Consider the following 20,032-nt stretch of genomic DNA (forward strand, 5'->3'; position numbering starts at 1 on the left):
TGGAATTTTGCTGTCGCCTAGGCTGGAGTGCAGTGGCACCATCTCTGCTCACTGCAGCCTCCGCCTCCCAGGTTCAAGCAGTTCTCCTGCCTCAGTCTCCCGAATAGCTGGGATTACAGGCACCCCCCACCACGCCTGGCTAATTTCTGTATTTTTAGTAGAGACGGGGTTTTGCTATGTTGGCCAGGCTGGTCTCAAGCACCTGGCCTCAGGTGATCCACCAACCTTGGTCTCCCAAAGTGCTGGGATTACAGGTGTGAGCCACTGCGCCTGGCCTGTTTTTTTTTTCTGCCAACATTATCAAACATTTTCCTATGTACTAACTAATAGACATCTTTATACATCTTTATACAATTCTTTTTTTTTTTTTTTTTTTGCCATACAGGTTCATTTTATTGAGTGGAAAGCTTACAAAAGGTCCACTGGCCCCTTCCCTCCCCACGTGACACTCATTCCTTCCAATGCAAACTCTGGTGTATCCACACTCGCTTCTGCGTCACTGGTTTCCCCCAACAAGGCACAAAGGGCGGGTGCTTCCAAAGGATCCCTTGCTCCTGGCAGTGGGACTTTCAGTGCTGGGTGTCTTGTGCAAATGGTGGCTGAAAGCAGGACTGTTAGTTCACTCAGACACTGGGATCTTCCTTACTCCTGCAGAGGGGCTTGGCTCCAGGCCCACAGTACTCGTTGTAGATGAGCTTGAAGAGGAAGAGGTGGAAGAGGGTGATGAGGGAGGCCAAGCTGAACCAGAAGAGGAAGGGCAGCCCGGGGTCCTGCTGAGCCATGTGCTCATCATGGGCCAGGATGGCCTTGAGGTGCAGCGTGTGCCGCAGGTCCTGCAGGTGTGTGAGGTCGGTGGAGATGTAGAGCAGTGGCGTGATGGGCTGTGTCACCATGACCGAGAAGGTGTGGCCCGTGGGCGCCGAGGTCAGCTCCACTGGCTCGTCCAGGCAGCCTGCCTTGCAGGCATAGATCTTGACAGGCTGGCCACGGGACTCCACGGACTCGTGTAGGTAGGGCTTGCCCTCGGCATCCGCCAGCACGGCCAGGTTGATATGGTCGTTCTTGTAGCGGATGCCATGCAATGCATAGCTGTTCTGCAGCACGTCGGGGTCGGCCTGGAACTGGAGGTGGTTCTCTGTGAACTGCAGCCCCCCGAAGCTGAGCACCATGCCCTGCAGGATGCCTGGGGCACCCACCTTCACCAGCCCCTTGCAGCCACTCTTCTGGAGGGTCAGCCTCCACAGGTCAGAGAGCTGCAGGATCTGCTGGACGGAGGACAGCAGCCCCGGCCACAGGTTCTCGGCGTGCATGGTGGCGTGCCCGCTGAAGCGGTGATCTTCATAGTTGAGCGTCGACTCCATCTGGTCTCGCTCCCTGTGGCTCAGGGAGGGGCTGAGCAGCGGGGCTGGCGAGCAGGAGAGCATGTAATAGAGCGTCAGGTTCACGGTGAGGCCAGACGGCCTGTGGGTGTCAGTGATCTTCATTTCCACTCCTGGGCTGAAGAGCTGAGCCCAGAGGAGCTGGTGGTCTTGAAGCAGCTCCGCCGCTGGCATCTCCAAGAGCTCCAGCATTTCCTTCCGTGCCAAGTCCTGCAGCGCCTTGAGCTCCTTGGCTGCTTTGCTTTTGGGCACCTGGGGGATAATGGGGCCAGAGACGTGCACCACCCACAGCACCGTCTCATCCAGCTGCGTCTTGGGAGCCACTTGGAGGCGGTTCACCAGCTTCTTGGCGGCCACCACCACCAGGTGCACCAACCCAGTGGGCGTAGGCGGGGACCGGCCTGAGTAGAGGAGGAACTGATGGTCTCCGACCTTCTCCAGGGTACTGGTGAAGGCCTTGGGGGCTGGGCCGGCAGTGGGCCCCACAGTCTGCAGCGCGGTCACGCGCTCCGTGGGGTTGTTGAGCTGGATGCGCTGCAGGTAGACGTGGGGTCGGCCCCTGTGCGCCAGAAAGCCCTCTTGCAGCAGCACGCAGTCGCGGCCGGACCCCGCGGCAAGGCCAGAGACGGAGGCGGGCCCGGGGCCGGCGGCCACGGGGCCAGGACCTGGGGACCCCAGCTGCAGGCAACGCACGCGGCGCAGCAGCCCCTCCCGCAGCAGCAGCACCGCCTCTCCAGCTTCAGCCAGCGCGCTCAGCGGGCGCAGCTGCACGAAGGGCACAAAGTCCGGCGCCACGGCGGGCTCCCGCTCCCCGGGAGTCACCCACAGCCGATTGGCAGCCACGTCCAGGGCCAGGAAGCCGTTGGCCACCAGGGCCGGCACTCCAGGGCCCAGCGGTACCGCCTCGCCGCGCTCCCGCAGGCCGCGCCAGGCGCGGGTGGCCGCCTCCAGGCAGGCAGACGGCTCGGTGGCGCCCGGCTCACCCCAGGACCAGGGAAGCAGGTGCAGGCCGCCCGCCGCCCGCTGCGCGCCGGACCCCCCAAACCACAGAAGCAGCAGTAGGAGGCCAAGCAGGCAGAGGAGGCGGCGGGCCCAGCTGCTCGACAGCAGTCCCGGCAGCCCCTTGAGCCCCTGCTGTAGCCACATCGGGCCGCCAGGCGCGGGCAAGGGCGCGAGGGCGGCCGCCGGGCCCGCCGCCCAGCCCACCGGCCCGGCCGCCCGTGCCTCACTGCCCGGCCCAGACCGCGGCGCCCACCCCGGCCCCCGCCGCAACCGCCGCAGCAGCCGCCATCGCTGCTTCCTCCTCCTTCTCCTACAATTTAATTCTTCATTTAGGTTTGTGTCTGGCTGTTGCCCTGGTGTTGTTTATTAATGTTGATCATACAGCTATTTTGGCATTGCCCACAGCTATTGAGGATAAGAAATGTGATGAAGAAAGTGGTAGCTGCCCCCAGTAGAAGCTTATGAAGACGCTGTTTTTAGTTTTAAGGGATCAGTTAATCTACAACTTTTCATAGAGCATTCATTGGTTTAGATCTTAATATTATCCTGAAACTGGATAATACTTTATATTTTGAATTATCCAATTAATGCAACAAACACGTGAGGGTCTATGGCATTGGAGTCATTGTTCACATTTATTCACCCAAACTTAACTATCAGTGCTGCTTTTCCTACCCACCCACTCCCCCCTGGGCTTACTCCCTGAAGAGCAAGAATGATTTATTTATTTTTATTTAATTTTTTGAGACAATCTTGGTCTGGCGCCAAGGCTGAAGTGCAGTGTCGCAATTTCAGCTCGCTGCAGCCTCCGCCTCCTGGGTTCAAGCGATTCTCCTGCCTCAGCCTTCCGAGTACCTAGGACTACAGGCATACGTGACCATGCCCAGCTAATTTTTGTATTTTTAGTAGAGACGGGATTTTGCCGTGTTAGCCAAGCTGGTCTCGAACTCCTGGGCCTCAGGTGATCCGTCAACCTCGGCCTCCCAACGTGCTGGGATTATAGTCGTGAGCCACTGCGCCCGGCCAGCAAGAACAATTTAAACATAAGCCAGTTTACGTTTACGTAAACTGCATGTACACTCCAGAGTCAGAGATTCACCTGGGGATTGTGAATCTGCATTTCCCTCCTGCCTTTCAGTTTAAGCATCTTGTCATTACACGGGATTTTAGTGTTTATAAATGCATGTTCACACAATGTGGCTTCTAAACTATTTTGTGTGTATATATATGTATTATATATGTATATAGATATGTGTGTGTGTGTGTGTGTGTGTGTGTGTGTGTGTGTGTATTTGTTGTTGTCGAGACAGGTTCTCTGTTGACCAGGCTGGAGTGCAGTGGTGTGATCATGGCTCACCACCAGAGCCTCAACCTCCCAGGCTCAAGTGATCATCCCACCTAAACCTCCCAAGTAGTTGGGACTACAGGCGTGCACCACCACACCTGGCTGATTTTTGTACTTTTTGCAGATATGGGGTTTTGTCATATTGCCTAAGCTGTATTTTGTCTATTTTTTTTTTTTTTTTTGGTGACAGGTTGTTGCTCTGTCACCCAGGCAGTGGCACAATCTTGTCTCACTGTAGCCTTGACCTCCTGGGCTCAAGCAATCCTCTTGCCTCAGCCTCCTGAGTAGCTGAGACCAGAGGCATGCACTACCATGCCCGGCTTACTTTTTTTGTATTTTTTGTAGAGACGAGGTTTTGCCATGTTGCCCAGGCTCATCTCAAACTCCCGGACTCAACTGATCCTCCTTCCTTGACCTCTCAAAAGTGCTGGGATTACAGGCATGAGCCACCACACCTGGCGTATTTTATCTATTCTTAACAGAAATATTCATTATAATTCTATTGAAAGAAATAGCTGTGTTGCATTTAGAGAACAGTATGTTGATATCCACTCTGGCATGCCTTCCTAAGGGATTTTCAGGTTAATATGACAATTGGAGAATTGAGCCAACTTTAGACCCGTGGTCTAAAGAGAAGTCAAAATTAGTAGGAGTCTGAATCCTTGCCTTCAAGAAGCTTGTAATCTAATTGGAGAGCACATTTATACTGGAAAGCACATCTATAAAACAATTCACAGTAAAGGGTGTAAGGAATCATGAGGATAAATGGCAGCCGCAACAACTGCAAGCATTCTGTCCCATTGTCCCCATAAATACAACCAACATTGTCAAGCAACAAGTCTAGATTTTTGGTTTAGGAAAAAAGGCATCAGTATCATTAGAGGGGATGGGAAAGAGCAAAAGTGGCTTTATCTGTAAAGGCTTCCTGGAATTATTGACTTGTAATTGAATAGGTGCTAGGAGAGAGATAGATAAAAGTCATGAGGATATTTCAGACACTATGGTCGTTGGGAGCATGAAGGTGTGAATCAAGCCAAACTGTTTATCATTTGGCTAGGTGGTAGGGGACACACGGGAGTGTCACAGCAGTGAGGATCGTCAGGAGCATCACCAGCTGACTCAGGGGTGAAGATAAATTCTCTTGACCATCATATTCCTCATTCTCTTCACTGTCTGCACTGAGGCCTTTTTCGAGTGCTTTCTGAGCCTTCTCATAGTTAAAGTGGTGAATTTTATTGAAAACACTTGTTTTAAAATTTGTCTATTTTATCTAAAAATTTGGTCATGGCTAAATGATTACCTTGTAAGCCCTTGTGGGAGCCAGTGTGATATAATAGAGGTCAGAAACAGGAGTCAGGGACCCTAGGTTTTGGCACCTCATTGTCGTTTATTAGCTCTATGGCCATAGGCAAGTCGCTTAACCTCTCTGCATCTTAGTTTCCTCACCTCCAAAATGTTAGACCAGAATCAGACGTTTTTATGCTATACTTTTTTTTTTTTTTCTTTTTTTGAGACAGGGTTTTACTCTGTTCCAGGCTGGAGCGCAGTGACACAATCATAGCTTACTGTAGCCTCAAACTCCCAGGCTCAAGCGATCCTCCTACCTCTGCCTCCCAAGTAGCTAGGTCTACAGGTGTGCACCACCACACCCAGCTAATTTATTTCTCACTATGTTGCCCAAGCTGATCTGAAACTCCTGGCCTCAAGTGATTCTTCTGCCTTGGCCTCCCAAAGAATTTTTTTTTTCTTTTCAATGACACTTTAAAAAAAAATTTTTTTTTTAATTTTTTAAAATTATACTTTAATTTTTAGGGTACGTGTGCACAACATGCAGGTTTGTTACATATGTATACATGTGCCATGTTGGTGTGCCGCACCCATTAACTCTTCATTTAACATTAGTTATATCTCCTAATGCTATCCCTCCTCCCTCCCCCCACCCCACAACAAGCAGCAGTGTATGATGTTCCCCTTCCTGTGTCCATGTATTCTCATTGTTCATTTCCCACCTATGAGTGAGAACACGCGGTGTTTGGTGTTTTGTCCTTGAGATAGTTTGCTGAGAATGATGGTTTCAAACTTCATCCATGTCCCTACAAAGGACATGAACTCACCATTTTTTATGGCTGCATAGTATTCCATGGTGTATATGTGCCACATTTTCTTAATCCAGTCTATCATTGATGGACATTTGGGTTGGTTCCAAGTCTTTGCTATTGTGAATAGTGCCACAATAAACATACGTGTGCATGTGTCTTTATAGCGGCATGATTTATAATCCTTTGGGTATATACCCAGTAATGGGATGGCTGGATCAAATGGTATTTGTAGTTCTAGATCCCTGAGGAATCGCCACACTGACTTCCACAATGGTTGAACTAGTTTAGAGTCCCGCCAACAGTGTAAAAGTGTTCCTATTTCTCCACATCCTCTCCAGCACCTGTTGTTTCCTGACTTTTTAATGATTGCCATTCTAACTGGTGTGAGATGGTATCTCATTGTGGTTTTGATTTGCATTTCTCTGATGGCCAGTGGTGATGAGCATTTTTTCATGTGTCTTTTGGCTGCATAAATGTCTTCTTTTGAGAAGTGTCTGTTCATATCCTTCGCCCACTTTTTGATGGGGTTGTTTTTTTCTTGTAAATTTGTTTGAGTTCATTGTAGATTCTGGATATTAGCCCTTTGTCAGGTGAGTAGACTGCAAAAATTTTCTCCCATTCTGTAGATTGCCTGTTCACTCTGATGGTAGTTTCTTTTGCTTTGCAGAAGCTCTTTAGTTTAATTAGATCCCATTTGTCAGTTTTGGCTTTTGTTGCCATTGCTTTTGGTGGTTTATACATGAAGTCCTTGCCCATGCCTGTGTCCTGAATGGTATTGCCTAGGTTTTCTTCTAGGGTTTTTATGGTTTTAGGTCTAACATTTAAGTCTTTAATCCATCTTGAATTAATTTTTGTATAAGATGTAAGGAAGGGATCCAGTTTCAGCTTTCTACATATGGCTGGCCAGTTTTCCCAGCACCATTTATTAACAAGGGAATCCTTTCCCCATTTCTTGTTTTTGTCAGGTTTGCCAAAGATCAGATAGTTGTAGATATGCGGCATTATTTCTGAGGGCTCTATTGTGTTCCATTGGTCTATATCTCTGTATTGGTACCAGTACCATGCTGTTTTGGTTACTGTAGCCTTGTAGTATAGTTTGAAGTCAGGTAGCATGATGCCTCCGGCTTTGTTTTTCTGGCTTAGGAGTGACTTGGCAATGTGGGCTCTTTTTTGGTTCCATATGAACTTTAAAGTAGTTTTTTCCAATTCTGTGAAGAAAGTCATTGGTAGGTTGATGGGGATGGCATTGAATCTATAAATTACCTTGGGCAGTGTGGCCGTTTTCACGATATTGATTCTTCCTACCCATGAGTGTGGAATGTTCTTCCATTTGTTTGTATCCTCTTTTATTTCATTGAGCAGTGGTTTGTAGTTTTCCTTGAAGAGGTCGTTCACATCCCTTGTAAGTTGGATTCCTAGGTATTTTATTCTCTTTGAAGCAATTGTGAATGGGAGTTCACTCATGATTTGGCTCTCTGTTTGTCTGTTATTGGTGTATAAGAATGCTTGTGATTTTTGCACATTGATTCTGTATCCTGAGACTTTGCTGAAGTTGCCTATCAGTTTAAGGAGATTTTGGGCTGAGACGATGGGGTTTTCTAGATATACAATCATGTCATCTGCAAACAGGGACAATTTGACTTCCTCTTTTCCTAATTGAATACCCTTTATTTCCTTCTCCTGCCTCATTGCCCTGGCCAGAACTTCCCACACCGTGTTGAATAGGAGTGGTGAGAAGAGGGCATCCCTGTCTTGTGCCAGTTTTCAAAGGGAATGCTTCCAGTTTTTGCCCATTCAGTATGATATTGGCTGTGGGTTTGTCATAGATAGCTCTTATTATTTTGAGATATGGTCCGTCAATACCCAGTTTATTGAGAGTTTTTAGCATGAAGGGTTGTTGAATTTTGTCAAAGGCCGTTCTGCATGTATTGAGATAATCGTATGGTTTTTGTTGTTGGTTCTGTTTATATGCTGGATTACATTTATTGATTTGCGTATGTTGAACCAGCCTTGCATCCCAGGGATGAAGCCCACTTGATCATGCTGGATAAGCTTTTTCATGTGCTGCTGGATTCAGTTTGCCAGTGTTTTATTGAGGATTTTTGCATCGATGTTCATCAGGGATATTGGTCTAAAATTCTCTTTTTTTGTTGTGTCTCTGCCAGGCTTTGGTATCAGAATAATGTTGGCCTCATAAAATGAGTTAGGGAGGATTTCCTCTTTTTCTATTGATTGGAATAGTTTCAGAAGGAATGGTACCAGCTCCTCCTTTTACCTCTGGTAGAATTTGGCTGTGAATCCCTCTGGTCCCGGACCTTTTTTGGTTGGTAAGCTCTTAATTATTGCCACAATTTCAGAGCCTGTTATTGGTCTATTCAGAGATTCAACTTCTTCCTGGTTTAGTCTTGGGAGGGTGTATGTGTTGAGGAATGTATCCATTTCTTCTAGATTTTCTAGTGTATTTGCGTAGAGGTGTTTATAGTATTCTGTGATGGTAGTTTGTATTTCTGTGGGATTGGTGGTGATATCCCCTTTATCATTCAATGAAACTTTTTACAAATAAAAACTTTACTACTTTACTCAAAACCCTGTTATACAAAACAGAGCTGATCTGCTAGGGAGTTAGAAGCCCCAACTGCTTACCTAACCCTTCCTTCTCAGAGTCCTCCCAGGGACCTTAAAGCTCAGGAGAACACAGCTGGAAAATCCCTGGACTAGATCCCTTAGGTCCCTTCTAGAATGTAACAATTTCTGAATCTTATATTGATAAATGGAGTGGAATTTCTTAAAAACAATTTTGAGGAGGCAATGCAGTTTTAAATACGTACGTATTGTATGCCATGCTGTAACATATTGCTAGATACAGTGAGCAATAGGAAAAGGTAAACACAGCTCTTCCTTTAAGCAGCACACTTAGAAGAGTAAGAGGGGAACAAAAGAGCTATAACTTATATATGATATTATATGTATTATATGTAATATAATATATAATATATAATTTATTGTTATAACACAACTCATACTACATAGAGATTGAAGTCAACAAGAATTTTCTCCCTAAACATAACTACAGAGATTAAGAATAGAGAAAGGAAAAGGAAAGGAATGCGTATGTTTTAATTCTGCAAAAAGTTCGGGCACAGTGGCTCAGCCTGTAATCCCAGCAGAAGGATAACTTGAGCTCAGGAGTTTGAGATCAGCCTGTGCAGCATAATGAGACCTTGTATCTACAAAAAAATTTTGAAAATTAGCCAGGCATGGTGGCGAGCACTTGTATTCCCAGGTACTCAGGAGGCTGAGGTGGGAGGATCACTTGATCCCTGGAGGTCAAGGCTGCAGTGAGCCACGATCAAACCACTGTACCCCAGCCTGTGTAACAGAGCGACTGCCTCAAAAATAATATTTGTCAAAATAGCTTGTCTTTGTATCACTGCCACATTGCTTGTTTGAAACGAAGCTGACTCACTTTGTTATCATAAGTGATCTTACCAAAGACCAAGTTGTCCAGTTGCCTTGGAGTGTAGGTCATGCGTTGCCGGTACCCTGGGGCTGTGTACAATGGCCAGGCTGAGGGGACCTTGTGGTTACCCCCATGGGACTTGTAACTTGTCAAGTGGGAAGGTGGTACCAAGTGAAGAAGGGTAGGGTCCTTGGTTTTGGCCTCACCTGGTTCTTCCCAGAATGAATGGTGAAAAAATTATAATTCTGCAGAAAAATTTAAATTCTATTTTGTTTACTTTTTGGATGGGAGATAGGTGTACACATGGCACTAAAATTCAAAAGGAACTTAAGGAGGCCAGGCACGGTGGCTCACACCTGCAATCCCAGCACTTTGGGAAGCCAAGGCGGGCAGATCACTTGAGGTCAAGAGTTCGAGACTAGCATGGCCAACATGGTGAAACCCCCCCGTCTCTACTAAAAATACAAAAATTAGCTGGGCATGGTGGTGTGTGCCTGTAATCCCAGCTACTTGGGAGGCTGAGGCAAGAGAATCACTTGAACCCAGGAGGCAGAGGTTGCAGTGAGCAAGGTCATGCCATTGCACTCTAGTCTGGGCAACAGAGTAAGACTCCAACTCAAAAAATAAAAATAAAAACAGCGGCTTCCTCTAGGAAGTGGGGCTGGAAGATTTTTACTTTTTCTGTTATACTTTTGTACTATTGCAAGTTTTAAAATCATGTATTTCACAGTAAATCCAGAAGAAATTATGCACTTAATTTTTCTGGGTGAATTGTGTTATAGAGGTAATAGAGGATTATTAAAATTTCTTTCTTTTTTTTTTTGTTTCCCAGATAGCAGACCCCACGTTAGCTGAAATGGGAAAAAACTTGAAGGAGGCAGTGAAGATGCTGGAGGACAGTCAGAGGTGAGTAGGACAGAGGTGACCCTGTTCAACGAGTTCAGCCTGCTGTGAAGCCAGTGGCTCTGGGTCCTTTCTGTTAAAGGTGCCTCTTGGCTTCACAGTGTCACACACAGCTTTGGCTGACTTGAAAATTGGTATTTGTCTTGGGTAAAAGGTGCCTTGTAATTAAAGGATTTTGAAATTGAGAGGAAAGACTTATACTATTTAATTCTGTCTATTAAGAGTTTCATTTACTTAATATATTGATTTGACTCTATAAATACTTATTATATATTCAGGTCATATAGAGCACCAAGTAAACAAGAAGTGGGTGGAACTTTTTTGTTGCATATTCTTGTCTTTTCCAGAAATTCAAACGATACCTGAAACTGGAGGCAGGGAGATGTGATAAATGTGTTTGAAATCCTGCCTCAGTCACTGGGAGGTTATAGGCAACATGGTCATGTTTGCATATTCAGGAGTTAGAAATTTGGTATGATGAAACAAATGAACAGCTTTTTCTTTTCTTTAAATTAGAAGAACAGAAGAGGAAAATGGAAAGAAGCTCATATCCGGAGATATTCCAGGCCCACTCCAGGGCAGGTAGGTGGCACTGAGGATCCATACCTTTAGTTAAGGTGTAAATTTTTGTTTGTTTCTGAGATGGAGTCGTGCTCTGTTGCCCAGGATGGTGTGCAGTGGCACAATCTGGGCTCGCTGCAACCTCCGCCTCCCGGGTTCAAGCAGTTCTTTCTTGTGCCTCAGCCTCCCGAGTAGCTGGGATTACAGGCGTGCACCACCATATCTGGCTAATTTTTGTATTTTCAGTAGAGATGGGATTTTGCCATGTTGGCCAGGCTGGTTTCTAACTCCTGACCTTCACCTCAGGTGATCTGCCCACCTCAGCCTCCCAAAGTGCTGGGATTACAGGTGTGAGCCACTGTGCCCGGCCTACATTTTTCTTAAACCAGTGTCTTATCATCATTGATTTATGGTTTTAGTTTTAATGAACACATAGCAAATTTAAATAGACTTATGTGCAGTATAACATTAGAAAACTGAAGTGTCGTTGGCTGGTTGGTGATATTGCTGCACCTGCTGGCTTCTCTCCCTCTCCCATTTGGAATTTAATAGATGCTAAGTACAGTGGGTCACATCTGTAATCCCAGCACTTTGGGAGGCCAAGGACAGAGGATCACTTGAGCCCAGGAGTTCAAGGTTACAGCGATCTGTGATTGTACCACTGCACTCCAGCCTGAGTGATAGAGACACTCTCTAATTTTGAGACAGAGTCTCGCTCTGTCGCCAGGCTGAAGTGCAGTGGTGTGATCTCGGCTCACTGCAACCTCTGCCTCCCAGGTTCAAGTGATTCTCCTGCCTCAGCCTCCCGAGTGGCTGGGATTATAGGCACCCACCACCACGCCCAGCTAATTTTTGTATTTTTAGTAGAGACGGGGTTTCACCATGTTGGCCAGGACGGTCTCCATCTCCTGACCTCAGGTGATCCGCCTGCCTTAGCCTCTCAAAGTGCTGGGACTACAGGCATAAGCCACCGCACCTGGCCAAAAATTTTTTAGAAAACCAACAATTTAATACAACCTCATGAGTCAAAAGTGATACATGGAGCTAGGCACCGTGGTGCACACTTGTAGTCCCAGCTGCTTGGGAGCCTGAGGCAGGAGGATGGCTTGAGTCAAGGAGTTCGAGGCCACCCTGAACAACATGGCGAGACCCTATCAAATAAAATAAAAGTGATATACAAATTCATCATTATAACTGGTGTGTCATACTTAGTTCACTCTTGAAACCTGTCATCTATTTGGTAGACTGAGTTTTATTCTAAGAGGTATTTTAATTTGATAAGATTTATTGTTTTCATAATGTAAATGAAAGGAAAATGTCAAATTACTTATTTTTTGGCAACTGAAGCAAATCTGTCATGTTTGAGTAGGAGGAAAAATAGCAAAAAAGTAAGTAGCTGACTAAAATTTTCACAAGACATTAGCAGTTAATCTGGGATTAGTATCCCAGCCCAGCTTCCCTGAGACAAACTTTTTTTTTTTTCCTGTTATAACCAGGAAACTGCACATAAGTAAACAGTACAACTCCCTTAAATATCCTTTGACTTGAATATAAATTGAACCAGGTTGCAAAAGAAAAGTATGGAGGAAGGATCACAGTGTGCCAATAACACGCTGAGATACTAATACTTTAAAAGTCACTCCTATTCGTAGCATGAATAATGCTGATGTGAAGCTAGGTGTGAAGTGCATTCTCAGCTCAGAACAGGAGGCAGGCCCTATAAAATCTCCTCATTCCAGGCCTACTGATGGAAACCAAAGGTTTTAAGGTTTAGTCTCCTAATTCCACGGAAGTTTTCCCAGGGGAGATACTCCCAGCAGCATCTGTAATTCTCAGCCTTAAGCCACTGACTAGGAGGATTCACACTTAGGAGTGCTACCACCCAGCATTCAAGACTAGTAACATGCCAGGCACAGCTAAGTGCCATACCTTCACTGTCTGAAGCCTCCCAAATCCATAACGTCCGGCTTGGCAAGTTGGAATAGCTTGCTCGAGGTCATGTGGCAGGCAGCCAGTGTGCCTCAAGGGCCCCTGCCTGCTCTGATCTCTACAGTGTCCAAGGCCCAGAGCCCCTCTCACTTGAAGGGCAGCACCTTGGGGACAATTGGTTTGGGGACACTGTTTTGATGGCGCTTCCTTTGTTGAAAGAGGAAACCTCTTTTTAGTCTATTCTCATTAACAGACGAATAGCCCTGCGTTATTCCTGTTGCAAGTTGCCTTGCCATTGCTTGCTACTTCAGCCGTTCGAATTCTTTTCGTAACTTTCCATCTCCTCATGTAATGAGCATTTCATAGCAACACATCTTGGATAGAAGTAAAATGTTTTTATACTCTAAGCAGATCTCAAGGTTCCCAGCTTGGGGAAGAGCTGGTAATAAATGAAGCTTGCATTGTTAGAGGCTGTTAGTCCAAACGGACAAGATCCCTATGGAGGAAAATTAGATATACCAGTGGCATTGGAGTGTTCTGTGACTGTCTAGCATTATACTATACTAAGGATGATTATATATTATATTTTATATAATATATTTTATATTTTATATAATGTATAGTATATAATACACTTATATATTATAAGTACATATTATAAGGCCTTTTTGCTCTTATTACATGCTTATTAAATATTCTCTGTCTTGTACTCCAAGATTCAAATGAAATGTATAGAAATGTTGCTAGAGCAAGACTGGTGGCTGGGCAAGGTGGCTCAGGCCTGTAATCCCAGCACTATTGGAGGCTGAGGCAGGAGGATTGCTTGAGCTTGGTGGTTTGAGACCAGGCTGGGCAACATGGCAAAACCCTGTTTCTACCAAAAATAAAAAAACGGCTGGGCGTGGTGGCTCATGCCTGTAATCCCAGCACTTTGGGAGGCCGAGGAGGGTGGATCACTTGAAGCCAGGAGTTGAAGACCAGTCTGGCCAACATGGTGAAACCCCATCTCTACTAAAAATACAAAAATTAGCCGAGCGTGGTGGCGCAAGCTTGTAATCTCAGCTACTCAGGAGGCTGAGGCAGGAGGATCGCTTAAACCCGGGAGGCAGAGGTTGCAGTGAGCCCAGATTATGCCACTTCCCTCCAGCTTGGGTGACAAAGTGAGACCCTGTCTCAAAATAAATAAATAAAAATAAAAAGACTGGTGACATTTATTAAAATGAAACTCATAATTAGGTAGAAGATTTATTTAACCACAAGTAAATTTATATCGGAATTCAGTTTATAATTTGAGCTTTGTTTTTTAAAAAGCATAAACTATATACCACGTTCTTTCTCTTATAGTTGCTTAAGAAAGAAAAAAAAAACTTGAAGCAACGCTAGTTGAATGAGGGAAGTAGCGGGAGAGTGGCGGGGGATGTGTGCTGTTCCCATCAGCCCATCAACTCTTTTTATTCTGCAGTGGGCAAGATATGGTGAGCATCCTCCAGTTAGTTCAGAATCTCATGCATGGAGATGAAGATGAGGAGCCCCAGAGCCCCAGGTAATGAACCTGGCAGCTTCTCTTTTCAAGTGTATGTGTTCTTGATTTCAGTAGTGATTGCGCTCTGACAAGTTGCTCAAATAAGAAGCTATATTTCATTGAGTTACATATGATATTAAAATAATCCTTTTTATTTTCAGAAAGACATTTATATTAATATATATTTTGTGAAATGAAGGCATTTATTGAAATTAGATCCCATAGTTTTTATGGTATCATGCCTTAGAGAGGCGCTGGCAGAAGGACTGAAGAGTGAGTGTCGGATGTCTTTCTGCTGCTGTGCTTCTGCTTCCTAAGAATTGCTGTAGTTGTATTCATTAGGTATTTAGTTAGTTTTCTCTTCAATTATTTTAAATTTAATGTTTTGAAATAAGTAAAATTATTCTCTTGGTTCAAAATTCAGACAATGAAAAATGATATACAAAGGGAATTTTCCTTCCTACCTCTATCTCCCTACCATGTTTTCTTCTCTAGAGACAGACATTACCAGTTTCTTGTGTATTCTTCCAGAGAGATTTTATATGTATTATACACCAGCAAAATGTCTATGCCCACCCTCTCTAATACATAATTACTATGCATATGCTGTGCATCTTGCATTTTTTCACTTATGTCTTGGAGTTCACTGCATATTAATGCACAGGAACTTTCTCCTTTGTCAGAGCTATGTGTTTTACTTTGAACAGATGAACCATATTTTATTTTATTGGTCCCCTGTCATGTTGCACTGTTACAAACATTGCTGCAGCAAACAACTTTCGACATGTGTCACTTCTCATAGAAGCAGGTGTCTGGAGGACAAAGTCCTGAAAGTGGAGTTGCTGTCTCAGACAGTGTGTGCTTTTGTAATTTTGATAGATCCTGCCAAATTTCCCTCCATGGAGTTGCGGCATTTAGCAGTCCCACCAGCAATGTATGAGAGTACTTTATTTCCACACTTTTCACCTGCAAAGGCGTTATCAGACTGAAGGATCATTGATAAGTGATATTCTGATGAGAAATCTGATAAGTGAGAAATGGTGTTTCAGCATAATTCGAATTTGCAGGTTTTTTAAATTATGAACCAAGTGACGTGTCTTTTTGTATGTTTTAAGACCCATTTATATTTCTAGGAACTGTCTGTTGCCCATGATCCTATTAGGTGATTTGTCTTTTTCTTATTATTCACAGTTAACAATTGTAAACTTTTTCCTTCTTTTTTACAGTTATTCTTTATAAGGAAAATTAGTTTTAATTCTATATAAAACATTTTATATAATCAATTTTAATTATATATAAAATAATACCTAGTCCCCCATGAATTTGCTGTATTATTGCAATAAATAATTCTTATTTGATGCATAGACCTGAGATTTAATTCTTTTTTTTTTTTTTTTTTGAGATGGAGTCTTACTCTATTGCCCAGGCTGGAGTGCAGTGGTGCCATTTCGGCTCACTTCAAGCTCTGCCTCCCGGGTTCACTCCATTCTCCTGCCTCAGCCTCCTGAGTAGCTGGGATTACAGGTGCCCACCACCAGGCCCGGCTAATTTTTTGTATTTTTAGTAGAGATGGGGTTTCACCATGTTAGCCAGGATGGTCTCAATCTCCTGACCTCGTGATCCGCCCGCCTTGGCCTCCCAAAGTGCTGGGATTACAGGCATGAGCCACTGCGCCTGGCCAGGATTTAGTTCTTTAAAAAATGCTTTCAGCTCATTTTACCTTAGCTCTACCCTCCACAATTCTTAAGGCTGGTATTTAATTTTTAAAATACTTTAATAGGAAATTATTTTAAAACAGTTTGTAGGTACTCAATTTAAAAAGGGCTATTTATCTCCTGGAACTCAAATTATAAAAATATTTTTCTGGCCAGGAGTAGTGGCTCATGCCTGTAATCCCAGCACTTTGGGAGGCCGAGGCAGGTGAATCACCTGAAGTCAGGAGTTCAAGAGCAGCCTGGCCAACATGGTGAAACCCCGTCTCTACTAAAAATACAAAAAATTAGCCGGGCTTGGTGGTGCGCGCCTGTAATTCCAGCTACTCGGGAGGCTGAGACAGGAGAATCACGTGAACCCAGGAGGTGGAGGTTGTAGTGAGCTGAGATCGCACCACTGCACCCCAGCTTGGGCATCAAGAGGGAGACTCCATCTCAGAAAAAAAAATATATTTTTTTCTCCATCTCAAAAAATAGAAAAAATTCTCACCAAACTATCACTACTGTTTATGCATTGATTTGCCTTCTGGGCCATTAAGTAGATTTCGAGTCTGACAGATATTTCTGTGGAATTCTGTGTCTCTAAGTTCTATGTCCTTTTTTATGGTTTGACTCTAATACTTTAATTTTGCTTAACAGAATCCAAAATATTGGAGAACAAGGTCATATGGCTTTGTTGGGACATAGTCTGGGAGCTTATATTTCAACTCTGGACAAAGAGAAGCTGAGAAAACTTACAACTAGGATACTTTCAGATACCACCTTATGGCTATGCAGAATTTTCAGGTAAAGACATGATGAGTTTCCAGTGAAGACTTTTATGAGTCGGGTGTAGACTGAAAGATCTTTTTTCTGGAGCTGTACTACTTGGGTTCAGATTTCCTTCTCCTTGAAAGGGGTGTTTAACCTCTCAATGCCTGTTTCATCATCTGTTAGATGGGGATAGTATTAATACCTATTTCATAGAAGCGTTGTGAGGATTAAATGAGCTAATGGACTAATACATGTGAAGGGTGGAGAATAGAAGCACATATGTGTTTGATAGGGTCAGCAGTTATTTATTTGTGGGGTATCTAATTGGCACATGTCGGTAGAAGATAGAGCAATGATCTGGATTCAAATACAGTTGTCCCTTATCCTTGGGTGTCCTTGGGGGATTGGTTCTTGACCTCCCATCCTCACCCTATGGATAAAAAAATTCATGGATGCTCAAATCCCTTATATAAAATAGCACAGTATTTTCATGTAACTGAGGCACATCTTCCCATATACTTTAATCTCTTGATTACATATAATACCTAATACGATGTAAATGCTGTGTAAATAGTTGTTACACTGTATTGTTTAGGGAATAATGACAAGGAAAAAAAGTCTGTAGATATTCAGTACAGAGGCACCCATCTTTTTAAATTTCTGAAGATTTTTTACTCATGCTTGGTTGAATCCACAGATGCAGAACCCATAGGTTCAGAGGGCCAGCTGTGCTTTGAAAATATTAGCTTGTGTTTTTATTAGAAAGAAAACTCTGAGGCCAGGCACGGTGGCTCACGCCTGTAATCCCAGCACTTTGGGAGGCTGAGGTGGGCGGATCACAAGGTGAGGAGATCGAGACCATTCTGGCTAACATGGTGAAACCCTGTCTCTACTAAAAATACAAAAAAATTAGCCGGGCGTGGTAGTGAGCACCTGTAGTCCCAGCTCCTCTGGACGCTGAGGCACTGCACTCCAGCCTGGGCGACAGAGTGAGACTCTGTCTCAAAAAAAAAAAAAAAAGAAAACTCTGTCATAAGGAAGATGAAAATGTGCTATGAAACTGAAATTTGTTTTATTCTGTGATAATCCTGGCAGTACTAAGGAATTACAACAGGTGAAGGATTCAGTAGGAGACATAGGACTAGTGGCATTGGGTTTATGCTGTTACTTTTATGGAGAAGGAATGTTTGCCTAACTTGAGACATTTATCTTGAGAGACCCTGACTTTCAGTGTTGGGAAAGAACTTGGCCAAGCAGGAGTATAAGTTTGCCCAACTTTATTAAAGGAGCAGTGTTCTGTTGTTCTAGTAAAAATCTACTGCCTGTAATTGAAATTGTCCATCCTCCTCTAGGAGATGGAGCCTCAGCAGATTATAGTAAAACCAAAAGCTAGCCTGACTAGCTTTTTTATTTTTTTGAGATGGAGTCTTACTCTGTCACCCAGGCTGGAGTGCAGTGGCACAATCTCGGCTCACTGCACCCTCCACCTCCTGGGTTCAAGCGATTCTCCTGCCTCAGTCTCCTGAGTAGCTGGGACTACAGGCACTCACCACCACACCTCGCAATTAGTAGAGACAGTTGTTTCACCATGTTAGCTAGGCTAGTCTCAAAACTCCTGGTCAGGTGATCCACCCGCCTTGGCCTCCCAAAGTGCTGAGATTACAGGCGTGAGCCACCACACCCAGCCTCTAACTAGCATTTTTGACAGTTTTATTTACTTTGGATGTTTTAGGGCTGAAACTCTGCTATGAACTATGCCTGTGTTATCCAGTGCTGGCCTTAGTTCATAATAAGCCAGAACCATGATCTTCAGGCTTTTTATATCTGAGAATTCCTGGTCTCTACTTGTTTTCATAGTTTCTGCTCTTTATGGAATTGGGTATGGATGGAGGGTTATTGTCTCGCTGCTTGGTAACCTCAGCTGTAATGAGGTGTCAGCCATCTATGATGAGGATGTTTCACATTCCTGTCCTCTCTGCCTGATAAAAGTGACAATTCCTAGCTTGAGAAAAGAATTGTCTCCATGATTATAAGGTTGACTTATACAATCCTTAACTAGAAATAAGAGCATATTAATATGTATCTCTTAACAGATATGAAAATGGGTGTGCTTATTTCCACGAAGAGGAAAGAGAAGGACTTGCAAAGATATGTAGGCTTGCCATTCATTCTCGATATGAAGACTTCGTAGTGGATGGCTTCAATGTGTTATATAACAAGAAGCCTGTCATATATCTTAGTGCTGCTGCTAGACCTGGCCTGGGCCAATACCTTTGTAATCAGGTAATGTGGTATCAGGTGGCTATTTTAAAGAAATAATGTCTTATTTTGTTCTGAAAGTTTTAAAGTTGACCCGTTTGTCTAGTTGCTGTTCTTGCTGAGTGAAAAGAAAGATGGTCTTATATGCTTTTGTCATATTTGTAAAAATTACTGAATTTAGAAATAAGGAATATGGGATAGATTACCCAGGGGCATCCACAGTCAACATTTTCTCTTTTTTCCCAGACTTTAATCGAAGGGGGTGTGTTTGTGTTTATATGGTTGTATCTGGCTCTTTTCACTTATTGTTAAAACAGGAATATATCATTTTAATAATAATTTTTCAAAGTATAGTTTATTTTTAATGTCTTCATGGTATTCCTTCAAGTGAATATATAGTAATTAACTGTTGCCCTTTTGGACAACTAAGAGTGTTTGCATTCTCTTGCTTTCTGTGACCATTTTCAGGTAATGTTCTTTGTGTAGTGCTGTTAAGGACTTCTCTGTGCATAAAGCTCTTCCTGTATTTTATTTAGGGTTATGGTCCTCAGATGGATTTTCAGAGTCAGTCTAGAATTGCTGGATCAAAGAGCATGACTTTTTTTTTTTTTTTTTTTTTTTTTTTTTTTGAGACAGAGTCTTGCTCTGTCGCCCAGGCCGGAGTGCAGTGGCGTGATCTCGGCTCACTGCAAGCTCCGCCTCCCGGATTCATGCCATTCTCCTGCCTCAGCCTCCCAAGTAGCTGGGACTACAGGTGCCCGCCACCACGCCCAGATAATTTTTTTGTATTTTTTTTAGTAGAGATGGGGTTTCACCGTGTTAGCCAGGATGGTGTCGATCTCCTGGCCTCGTGATCTGCCCACCTCAGCCTCCCAAAGTGCTGGGATTACAGGTGTGAGCCACTGCGCCCAGCCGAGCATGACTATTTTTAAAGTTCATGGTGCTTCTAGCCCAACTGGGAGGACTACATCGAGATAAGACATTGTTAACCGTCTTTGCCAAGAACGTTTGAAAGCAAAACCATAGGGTTGGAGGGTTCCTCTTTTGTAAGCTGTAGGAGTCCCAGGGGGATGTATGGGAGACACTTAGTGACTTTTAAATTGATTCT

The 20,032-nt window shown here is 44.1% G+C and overlaps 1 protein-coding gene and 1 pseudogene across 23 annotated transcripts in view; one reads left to right on the top strand and one right to left on the bottom strand.

Moving 5' to 3' along the window:
- PDXDC1 (pyridoxal dependent decarboxylase domain containing 1) overlaps nucleotides 1-20,032 on the top strand; it is a 178,484-nt gene that overhangs the window by 12,901 nt on the left and 145,551 nt on the right. For 13 of the 23 annotated variants that reach the window (XM_024450194.2, XM_017023065.2, XM_024450195.2 and 10 more), the window contains 5 exons: nucleotides 10,118-10,191; nucleotides 10,705-10,770; nucleotides 14,141-14,221; nucleotides 16,552-16,698; nucleotides 18,759-18,948. In XM_024450194.2, the coding sequence (XP_024305962.1) occupies nucleotides 10,142-10,191; nucleotides 10,705-10,770; nucleotides 14,141-14,221; nucleotides 16,552-16,698; nucleotides 18,759-18,948 (534 nt within the window). In that variant the 5' untranslated portion in view covers nucleotides 10,118-10,141. The remainder of the gene's footprint in view (nucleotides 1-10,117; nucleotides 10,192-10,704; nucleotides 10,771-14,140; nucleotides 14,222-16,551; nucleotides 16,699-18,758; nucleotides 18,949-20,032) is intronic. The other 10 variants (XM_047433790.1, XM_047433788.1, XM_006720865.3 and 7 more) reach the window with 4 other exon arrangements.
- Nucleotides 374-2,691, bottom strand: LOC728138 (KIAA2013 pseudogene; annotated as a pseudogene).

The sequence above is a fragment of the Homo sapiens genome, chromosome 16 (assembly GCF_000001405.40).
Source record: "Homo sapiens chromosome 16, GRCh38.p14 Primary Assembly".
NCBI lineage: Eukaryota > Metazoa > Chordata > Mammalia > Primates > Hominidae > Homo > Homo sapiens.